The sequence below is a fragment of the Homo sapiens genome, chromosome 2 (assembly GCF_000001405.40).
Source record: "Homo sapiens chromosome 2, GRCh38.p14 Primary Assembly".
Lineage (NCBI taxonomy): Eukaryota > Metazoa > Chordata > Mammalia > Primates > Hominidae > Homo > Homo sapiens.
This window is the reverse complement of record NC_000002.12, coordinates 149475377-149486760: the sequence shown is the minus strand read 5'-3', so window position 1 is coordinate 149486760 and position 11384 is coordinate 149475377. Positions and strand designations below refer to the sequence as shown.

Sequence of the window (11384 nt, the reverse complement as noted above, 5' to 3'; positions counted from 1 at the left end):
GAGGGTGAGCCTGATAAGCACCGGAGCCCCTTAGGGGTGCATTCCAAGTCATGGTCTTTGTCACACCAGTGCCAGCACAGTGCCCAGCACACCCGTCAAGAAAGGACTGCTCATTTGATGCTCGCACATGCCTGCACCTGCACATGCTATGGGCTTACATTGCTGATGGCTGACCCTCGCAACAAGCTCATTTATCCCATTTTACAAGCAGAAGATTGAAGAAGATTAGGGAGAGTGTTTTAACTAGCGAAGCTTGAATCCGAACCTAGATTTGTCTTTTCAAACAGGAATATTTGTGAGACAATTAATCAACACATCAAAAAACATTCGAATGAACTGCAGAAAGATTATAGGACTACACTTGAGTTAGTACAAGAGTGAATGTGGAACTCATAATTCAGGAAGAGATCATTACCTTATCGAAACACCTGAGCAGTGAGGGGGCATGGTCTTTAGACCAGGTATTGAGTTCCTGATTTCTTGACTTCAGGTATATAACTGGAAATAAATATTGAAAGGATCATTAATAATCACATAGTTCACTGTTTTTCAAACTATAAGTTTTAACCCATTAGTGGAGTCATGAAATCAATATTGGTGTGTTGAAATTAAGACTTTTAAAAAATAGTAAACTGGAACAGAATGGAATAGAGACAATATTCAAGTGTAATATAATAATGAATACTGTGAAGGTCTATATCTTTTTGTGAAATGTATTTCAGTTGCATTTTTATATACATTAGAAATATGTGCATTGAGTCACACTACAAACTATTAGGATGAATGGCAGCCAGAAATGTTTTAAAACCCCTGATTCAATGTCTACTCCTTCACCAGTTGGTGACCCTGAGGTCTGGCGGGATTAGGTGGCTCCTTTAGGCCATAGTGTCTTTGCCTGCAGAACCTGGCTCCATATTGTGCTTCCCATGTACATTTTGTGTTTTAATGTTCCCATCTTTCAAATGGGGCTAATTTTGAGCTCACCTTTCTGACAGGGCCATTAGGGGAATGAAATTATCTTAAAATGCTTTGAAAAGATAAAACCTATAAATATGGAAACTCTACCCCATAAGACTTGCCGTGCTATTAATACAGGATGAGCTGCTGGGCTCTGGCAGGATCCAAAGTCACTGGCTCAGCGTCAGACAAACAGAGCAGGTTTCATGACCTGGAGAGTGAGAATTCCAGGTCCACATATGCTGACAGCTTAGAAAAAATGTTTCCAATCCCTAAATGGCTCACAGGTAGAGAGGAAAGCATGTGGCACAGGACCAGCAATGCAACATGGCAATGAGTACTTACAGAGCATTCCACATCACTGTCCTCCAAACGCCTGAAAGCAATTCCCTTTCAACTGCAATCCTTGCTCTATCTGCAACCCTTTAGCCTCAACAGGTGTACTAAATTGATAAGAAAGTTGCAATTGTGATTCACCTTAATGCTTTTTCCAGTGCCTTACTCTACTCAGTTTCATGCTGAGTAAAAACTTGCTTTTCTTTAGTCTACCAATGTACCATTTTATTACAGAAGTACAAAATTTTCTCCCCTCAGGAGCATAAGGAATGCCCTCCCCTTCTCCATCTCAAGATGTAAACATTTCATTCCTCTCTGGCCCTTAACTATGATCACTTGTGCTACGAATCCTTTTGGCTTGTGCTGAGGGGCCCGTGATGACCCAATTAACAGGGCTCTTTATGGAAGGTTTAATATCAGGCACTCCACATGCATAGTCAAAACACTGTGGCTGGATATCAGATATCCCAAGACAAGAAACAGAACAAGGCTAAGAAGTAGATGTTGTGAGATTGCTAAGTTTCCAACTTTTGTTGGGTTTTGCCACCTTTGGTTTGGTGTGGTCTGGGCATGGGCAGTACTAAAGATATCCTTAGAGGGATACAGGGAAAAAATAACACCAAAAACGCAGTACCTTTTTGCAGTTGTTGATCCCTTTTTTTTTAACCTAAATTACTCATTTGCTCATTACAACTGGTTTGATTTAGGTGTGCTTCTTTTTATCTTACCTTGTTTTGGTCCCACTAGGATTGGCCTGAGCTGGAATGTTCGTTTCTTGATTTGGAATTCCATTTCTAATCCTTGCTTATTCATTTGCTCAAAGAACAGCCCAAACACCTTGACACATTAATTTCTAAGGAAAGCTTTGCCTGCATCCACCAGGTTCTGAAGGATTGCTGTGCATGGACTACGGGGGTAGCTATGGAGCTAGGAAGGTCTGTGTTTGTATCTGAATTTTCTCTGCCATTTATGGTCTTTCCATAGGATCCAAGCTTTCTCCTCTCTATTCTCATGGAAGACATTTTAAATCTATGCTTAGTGTTTAGTCTGAAAAGGATTTTCCACTGGACAGAAGCCGTGGCATCATGACAATTCCTGTGTAAAATTAAACATACCCCAGCCATAACTGCAAGCTGCAGTCCTCTGGCATTGACACTAGATCACTTATTTTTCAATAAGGTACAGGATAGGGATAATCAGTCCACACCAAAAGAGTCACATTGGGTCCCTTGCTATTCTAATCCATTTCTCTACAATCTGAAATGTCAAACAGTTTGGTAAACTTCAACCTAAATCAGTTGACAGTACTATAGGTTTATCCAATTCAAGTAAGTGGAAACTTAATAAGCAGTTGAAAGAGAGCAACCCATACACAAATCTATTAACGTTTGTTGTAAGCTCACTGTGTGCCCAGAGTTAAGAGCTTTCCATGATCTCTTTTGAGCCTCAACACAATGTGAAGAAATTTAACTGAGGTCACTTCGCTTTTTGGTGGCTGAACCATGACTTGAGACCTAGCCTGCTGATCCCAAGCTAATGCTTATTCCATTTTACAGTTCTCTCTTGTCACTATGATATACACCACATTTTCTGGATTTATTTATTCTGGCACTGATTGTAAAATGTGCCATTAGGTTCAATAGCATTTCAGAAAAAAAGTATACTTCAAAAATTTCTAAATTTAATTCTATTTTTAATTGACAAATAATAATTGTATAATTTATGGGCTGCAATGTAATGCTTTGATATATGCTTACATTGTGAATGATTAAGTCGAGCTGCTTACCATATCCATCACTTAACAGACTTATCAATTTTTTGCAGTGAGAACATTTAAAATCTATTTTTTTTAACCAACTGCAAATAGCATATATTCACCTCCTCAATTGCATTTATTTACAGTCAGAATTTGAGTCTAAGCCTTCTTCCCATTTAGAGTCTTCTAAATAATTCTTGACCAGTGAGTCAGAAACTTCTGAAAGAAGGAAGAGGTCAAGAGAAAGAGAGCGGAAGGAGAGACCTTCTCATGCTTTAGTATTCAATGGGAGCATTAAAACCTCTCTTCCTTCTTAGCACAGTCCCAGATACGCAATCAACATAGATTAGAGAGTGAGAAGCAGAGAGGCAGAAAATGCATTTTTCAGCATCTTTTTTTCCTCCAGGGAAATATGCAGCCCACAACTCCTGGAGTTGAGCAGACTTGCCCAGACAGAAGTTCCCTGGTCAAAGGTTTTCTTATCGTGGAGCAGGCAAAAGCCCTGCACTTGAATGCCAGAATGCTGGAGTGCCAGACAAAGGCAGGCTCCTGACATCCTGCCTGGAGGCCAGTGGGTCCCCTGGGGTCCACAGACAACTGGTTTCCCTCCACTAAGACCTGAAGGGGTGTCCATGACAGATGCAATCTTGACAAACCTCCACCGGGCTCTCATCCAGGGGACTCTCCAGACACAGGGAACTGAAGTAGTCACCTTTGGAGTCCCGTGTCTGCAGGAGGTCCTTGGCCATGGCTTCCTCTGGTCTTGGGATCAGCAGCTTTTAGCAATGCTTTCTGCTCAGAGTCTCAGCCTTCCAGGATTTTTCTTAAGTCAGGATTTGATCCTTGGAGCCCTGGTCAGGTGTGGTCAGATCTCCTGTGGACAGGAATGATACTTGTCTTCCACCAGTTTCTGTATCCTGAAGCATTTTGTGTCCTAAAAAGGAGAGGGGGAATGTCCTAGAACAGCCCAGTAAGCTTAAAGACGTGAAGAACTCAAGTATTCTAGGAACAATCCCAGCTCAACTACCCTAAACCAGCAGGGTTCTTTGGTGGCAAGCAACAGAAACTGACCCTAGCTAACATAAAACTTTATTGGAATAAAAGGGGACTGGCTAGAATGATATATGGGAGCTCAGAGAATGGAAGGGGTCTGAAGAAACATGAGAAAGGACAGGTCTGACTCCTGGTATAAGGGCTGATTCCTGCTGCTTTGTAGCTGATGGTCTGTGTAACCAGAGTAACAATGAGAAGAAAGCCAGTTCCTCCATAATAACTACCTTCTTCGTCAAATGCTTGTCTTAGAATTAGAATATGGATAATAAGCTGTTGTGTCTATGTTAAATTTCTTGATTTTTGTAACTGCATTCTGGTTATGATAGAGAATATCTTTGTTCTTAGGAAATGCTGAAGTATTAAGGGGTAAGGAGGCATTGTGTTTGTAACCTTCCTTAAAACGGTTCAGAAGACAAACTATAATATTATATTATTAGAGACAAAGAGAATAAGTCAAATGTGGCAAAATTTAAAAATTAATGTGTCTTGAAATTTTTCTATAAGTTTGGAATTTTTTTTAAAGTAAGTAGTTTTAAAAGAAATAATTTTTTAAAGTCATTTTCTCCAGATTATCTCATCCAAGATCAGTACAATTTGCATCTCTGGGGGTAGGATTCCAACATTGGTAGATTTTAAAGCTATCCAGGGACTGCACTGGGCAGCCACAGCTGGGAACCAGGCTCCCAGGGTCTGAGCCCTGATCTGGGCTAAAAGCAACACTTCTGAGGAACCCCTAAAGTAATAACAACCACAAACTTAACATATATAGTCTTAACCATTTATTATATTTATGTTTTTCATTATAAAAGTAATATAACCACATTGCATAAAATTGGAAAATTTTTTTAAAAGAAAAAAGTTATTACCATAACATAAACAATGAGAGAATTTTGGCTTATTTTCTCCAAGCATTTTTTAATGTACATATTTGCTTCCTACATAGTATGACACATTGAACATATGGCTTTAGCACTATTCTCATTTGACTTGAAAATGTCTTTAGAGCAATCATTTTTGTTGATAGTATATCAAGTGGATGTGCTGTTACTGACTTAACTATTCCCTTACTTTCATGTATTTACATTGTCACGATTTGTTTTTTGTTTTGTTTTGTTTTGTTTTTGTAATTACAAATAATGCTTCAAGGAACAAATTTGTTCATAACAGTGTTTCTAATATTTCAGGCCACTTTACAGAAGTAGGATTATGGGGTCAGAATATGTCCATTCTCATAGCACTCAACACATACTGCCAAATTGCTTTGTGAAAGAGCTTTAACAATTTATGTTGCAACCAGCAAGAGATGCTAGTTTTACGGCTTTGACATTATACATTTTTTAGTGCAAGATTAAATATATGAAGATGTGTCAGAAGTAGGCCAGGACTAGCAGAAGCACAACCTCAATTTTAACTCTTGTTGTGTCACTTACTAGCTGTGATGCCTTGAGATTGCCCCTTACTCTTTCTTCCTCATTTTATGGGTCTACTCCACACATTTACCAAACACCTATTATGTTCCAGGCACTATTCTCCATGCTGGGAATATGTATTGCTATAGGTCAGGACTCTTGAGAAGGAGGCTCTGAGATGGAGATTAGTGTGCAAGAGACTGATTAGGGACTGTTCTTGGCATCGACACTTGTGGAAGGGAGGTGACAGATGCAGGCTTGAACAGAGAGGGGAGCTGGGCTGCAATGAAGTTTCAGTGAAGCCACAGCCAACCCCACGTGAGCTCTGAAGATGGGATATGCCTTCAAAGGTGTCTGAGGTAGGTGATGGGGGCTGGGCCTTTATATTCTTACTTTGCTCCATGACTGCATGTAGGGGCTGCCTAGGGAAGGGGGCATGGCCTTGGGTGAGGCAACTCTCTTCAGCCCCATCACTTCACGAGGAGGACTACTATCAGAGGGCTGCTGGGGCAACGCTCCCCCAACAACGAGGAAACAATCATTCCTGAAGGGAAATCTGGGTGGTGCACGGCAATAACACTGCAAGTGATGAGCAAAGCAGACAATGGTCCTGGCCCCATGGAACTTAGAGCTAGAAGGAGAGCCAGGCACTGATATTACAGACACAAACACCCCCCCACACACAGGAAGACAAACTGAAAAGCACTGTGAAAGGAAGTTCAGGGTCCCATGAGAGTGGGCAACAAGGGGACTTGATCTAATTTGGGGGTGTCAGGGAAGATGTTCTTGAGGAAGTGATAATGAGCTGAGATATGGAGGGTATAAAGGGGGTTACCAGGTCAATGGAGAGAGGGTGAAGAGTACACCTGGCAGAGGAAAGAACACTGTGCAAAGAGCTGAGGCTGGAGGGAGCACAGTGTTCAAAGAAAAGAAAAGCAGAGGCCAGGCGTGGTGGCTCATGCCTGTAATCACAGCACTTTGGGAGGCTGAGGCAGGCTGATCACCTGAGGTCAGGAGTTTGAGACCAGCCTGACTAACATGGTGAAACCCTGTCTCTACTAAAAAGACAAAAGTTAGCCAGATGTGGTGGTGCATGCCTGTAATCCCAGCTACTTGGGAGGTTGAAGCAGAAGAATCGCTTGAACCTGGGAGGCGGAGGTTGACGTGAGCCATTGCACTCCAGCCTGGGTGACAAGAGCGAAACTCCATCTCAAAACAAAAAAAAAAAAAGAGAGAGAAAAAAGGAAAGCAGAGTGGCAGGTACCTTTCAAGTCAAAGGGCATGTAACAGGTGTGAGGCCATGGAGGAAGGCTATGTGGCCAGTGCAGGGGGACTTGCTGGCCCATAGAGAGGGCATTGTTTTCCACCCCATGAACAATGTGAAATTCTTGAATGGTATTAAGCAGATGGGTGACTTAATCAGGTTTGCATTTCAAAGTCTACTTCTAGCTATGAAAAATGGATTGAAATAGGGCAAGAAGGGATGGGTGAGATCAATAAGGATGCTGGGAAAGATGTGATCATAGCTGGGACCAGAGGGGTGGAATTGGACATGGAAAGGAGTGGATAGACTTGAAAGAGAAAAAATTGACAGGATTTGACGGTAGATTAGACCTGGGAGGTGAAGTAGAGGGAAGTGTGAAGGAGAAACCCAGGTTTCTGGTCCACACAACCAGATGATGTCAATGCTGTTCACTGAGATGGGGACACTAGACGAGGTGAGCCTGGGAGTGGATGATACATTTGGTTTTGGTCACTCTTACAACGGAGGTGCTTGAGTTTGAGAAGTCCTACAAATGAAATGTTGAGTAGATAATTTGGGGAGAGCATTCTAGAATTCATAGAAGGAGTCTGAGGGGGAGAGATTATTTGTCAGCCACTGACAAATGGCTGGAAACTTAAATAACAGGCATGGAAGAATCACCTAGGAAAGATTATAGAATGGGGAGGAACTTTAGCACCAAATTTCGAGGAACTCTGACATTTAAATTTGTATAGAAGGCAGGTTTTCTAAGTAGGAAAGCTTCTGGGGTGGGTGGTTCATGGAAGCCAATGGAAGTATTTCAAGTAGGAGGGACTAGACGAAGTGTTGAACGAAGCTGAGAAGTTAGGTGAGGAGAGGACTGAGAAGTGACTGTTGGGCTGAGCAGCTTGTCGTTCATTAGTGAATTCAGTGAATTCACTGTGAGGCCTGAGGACAGACTGGACTGGTATAAAGAGTGAGTGGATTGTGAGGAAATCGGGTCAGTGAGCACAAAAGTCTTTCAAGAGGTTTGGCTGTAGAGGGTACTAAAGAGAGGGGGTAGCTGGATGGAGAATTAGGGTTTAGGTCAATTTTCCTTTGTTTTGCTTTTATGATGTGTGAATGTGGGTGGGACAGATCCAGTTCTTTCAACTTTATCATTCCCTTCATGTAAGTACCAGGGGTGAAGTGCCCCAGGTAGCAGGTGGAAAAATAAAGTAAAAGTATCCAGAGTTGTGCTCAAAAGAGGCATTTCCTAGACTGAACCAAATGTTCATTTCCAGAGCCAAGTGCAGTGCCTCATTCCCATAATCCCAGCACATTGGGAGGCTGAGGCTGGCAGATCACTTGAGGCCAGGAGTTTTCGACCAGTCTGGGCAATATAGCAAGACCCCATCTCTACAAAAAAGTAAAAAGTTAGCCAGGTGTGGTGGCACACACCTGTAGTCCTAGCTACTTAGGAGGCTGAGGCAGGTGGATCATTTGAGCCCAGGAATCGGAGGCTGCAGTGAGCCATGACTGTGCCACTGTACTCTAACCTGGGCAACAGAGTGAGACCCTGTCTCTAAAAAAATAAAAAATAAAAAAAACCACACATGCGTGCGCGCACACACACACACACACACACACCTCTATATACCAAAGGGTGAATTCCCTGTCTTCTGAGAATTTGGGGCAGTATTTGTCTGCCCTATTTGTTTAGTTGACAGAACCACTGAACAGGGGCTCTGAGGACCCTAGTGAAAATCATATTCCTAGTAGGCTGCCTTGGTACTCCAGAATTCTTGAGATGAGTATGAAGAGAAGCCCTTGCTGTCCCACTGTCTTTAAAATTAAGGTGGTTATGAGCCCAGCTAATCAAGTTGGTCTGGAGTGCTCTAAAACATCAGGTAATTTTTGGAAGCTCCCCTACCCCAGGTGATTCTAACAGGCAGATACTAGCTAACAGACTGGAAGGGCTACAACCGTCAAAGATGAACAATAATAATCACAGAAGCAGCCTTAGTGAAGACCAATCTATAAAAATTAATCATGGACAGGTCTATTGGCAAGTTATATTTACCTACAGCTAATTACCAATTTCTCTCAAGACTGATCTCACAGCTTTCCTAAAAGTCCACATCCGTGACCTTTTGATGCCTATCTGAGCAGGGGACTCTTTTCACTAGCCTGACACCTTCTCATTTTCCAAGTATTGGATTAAATATTATTTTTCCTGGGGAGTCTTCTCTCACCTCTAATCAGAAGCCAGACTTATACTCTGGTTGTTTTCAAGATCCTCAGATATAACCTGGCTGAAACACACCACTATGCTTTTTTCCTAAATACTCCAAATAGGCCTTTCAGGGTTGTTGTTTCTTTTTTTTTTTTTTTTTTTTTTTTTTGAGACACAGTTTTGCTCTGTCACCCAGGCTGGAGTGCAGTGGCACAATCTCGGCTCACTGCAACCTCTGCCTCCCAGATTCAAGCGATTCTCCTGCCTCAGCCTCCCAAGTAGCTGGGATTACAGGTGTGTGCCACCACGTCTGGCTAATTTTTGTTTTTTTAGTAGAGACAGTGTTTCACCACGTTGGCCAGGCTGGTCTCGAACTCCTGACCTCAGGTGATCTGCCCTCCTTGGCCTCCCAAAGTGCTGGGATTGTAGGCGTGAGCCACCACGCCCGGCTGACCTTTCAGTTTTTTCAAGATGATCTGACTTTAAAGAAAGGGCATTCATGGGAGGTCTGATGGCACATCTCACGTGGTCTCAGGCTGTCTTGCATCAAGGAGAATGTGTCTCTACACAGCACACTTGGTATTTAGGGCAGTGGCAAAACATACACAAGGTTATTAAGTAATTAAACATATTAAAGTCAAGGATGGGCCCAACGCTTTGAATGTTTAAAGCCTTTAAAGGTAGGGATAAACCCAGTGCTGACATGTGCCAGGACTGAGCCAGGCTGAGTCATGAGTGAGTCCAGAAGTGTTCTCTCCCACCACTGACATCTACTCAGCCCCTTTCCACCCAACGCACCTCAGTGCCAAGCTTCTCAAGCATGATCCCTCTCCCCAAACAACTGGTCTTCACACGCCACTGTGTGATGTGGGTTGCTCGTTGTTCACAGACCTTCTTTATGGCTGGGAGAAGCTAGGGTCAGGGGAAAGCTTAGCCAGGAGGTAGCTGAGAAGTTGGACCAGTAGCCATCGCCAGGTGCACACCAGTGGGGAGGCGGATGGCATGTGCTCAGACTCCGGGTGCAAATTCCATAGGACCCAAACAGTCACGCTCCTCTGTAGATGGAAGAGGAGCAAGACACTAAGTCTATTCTGAATTCTTCTCAAAGATGAATGGATTTATTGAGAGCATGGCTTATTTTTAGCCCTTCTCTTTGCATCATGGCTACATCCTGGTGGCATTTTGTTCATTTTGCCTAAATCCAACAGAGTTGCTTTTCAGATACACTTTCCCCACTTAGACAACACAAGCCCTGTCACCTCCCCAGGAGGACATCAATGGAGGCCTGAACTCTGAGCATAGAGACAACACACGGTTTTGGGAGGCCAGTTTCTGACATGGGACATGCCATAAACCCCGAGAAAACTACTTCTGAATAACTGATAAGGTCTAATTTAGACACATCATTCTACCTTTTTAGGCCATGACTCTGAAAATGATTATTTTCCCAGAATATTTTTCTTCTCATATTAGAATGAAAAATCTGTTTCCATTAGGCTAGCTTGCTGTCCTGCAAAAGCTTGCCCTTTTATTCTCTACCCTTCACTACCATGATGGTCCTCGTAAGACTGCCAATCCCACAGTAAAGGGAGAGGAGGCCTCTAAATTGTTTTCTATCAGCCATGTCTTAATTACTCTGAGCACCAAAGAAGGGACATTTTGATGAGTTGTAACAAAAGCAATATGGCATGCTCAGAGACAAATGATCTGAGTTCTCCAGGGTTCTTTTCTCTCCTGTATAAATCTAAGCAGGTAGACTAGATGTTTTCTAAGGTTCTACTCACTCTAACTTTGTGACCTGAGAAATGGCTTTCTAGTAAAATGCCAGAGAAGGATGAGGCCATTATGCATGTCACCCTTGTGACATGTGTGTGGAACAAAGAATCCTGGATCAGGGATCAAAATCCTTGTAGTATAAACTACCAGTGGGGCCTCCCAAAACCACTCCAAAGCTTTATCTATGAAAGCTATAAATGGGGTCATGCTGATTAACCGAAGCAAGGTATATAAAACTGCTTTGCAAATAAAGTCATATAGAAAAATCATTCTACTGGGGTAATAGAAAAGAGGACCCCAGATAAATTTCTTAGGCTCTAGATTTTAGGTCTCTACCCAGTTTCAAATACAGCTATGTAGAGGTCCCCCAATCCAATTCCAGCAATTGCAATGGAGTTAAAATTTGTCAAAGATAATAAACAGCAAGACAATAGTAATTGCTAATGAGAAAGGCCATAATTTTTTACAAGAGCTAGACAGAGTAACTGCTGAAAGTGAAGGCTTCATTTGAAAGACACTTTGGAAATTTGCGTTGGTTTTGTAACACCAAATTATGTCAGAAATGTTTATATTTTTTTAAAAAAATCATAGGCCCATTTTCAGTAGACTCCAGTGAAGAGTGCCCCAAGGTGAAGTCAT

The 11384-nt window shown here is 42.3% G+C and overlaps 1 protein-coding gene across 1 annotated transcript in view; it reads right to left on the bottom strand.

Moving 5' to 3' along the window:
- Positions 1 to 382: 382 nt before the first annotated feature.
- Positions 383 to 11384, bottom strand: part of LYPD6 (LY6/PLAUR domain containing 6) — a 156394-nt gene continuing 145392 nt past the window's right edge. Inside the window, exon 4 of the mRNA XM_047443400.1 lies at positions 383 to 498. Within this exon, the coding sequence (XP_047299356.1) occupies positions 398 to 498 (101 nt within the window). The 3' untranslated portion in view covers positions 383 to 397. The remainder of the gene's footprint in view (positions 499 to 11384) is intronic.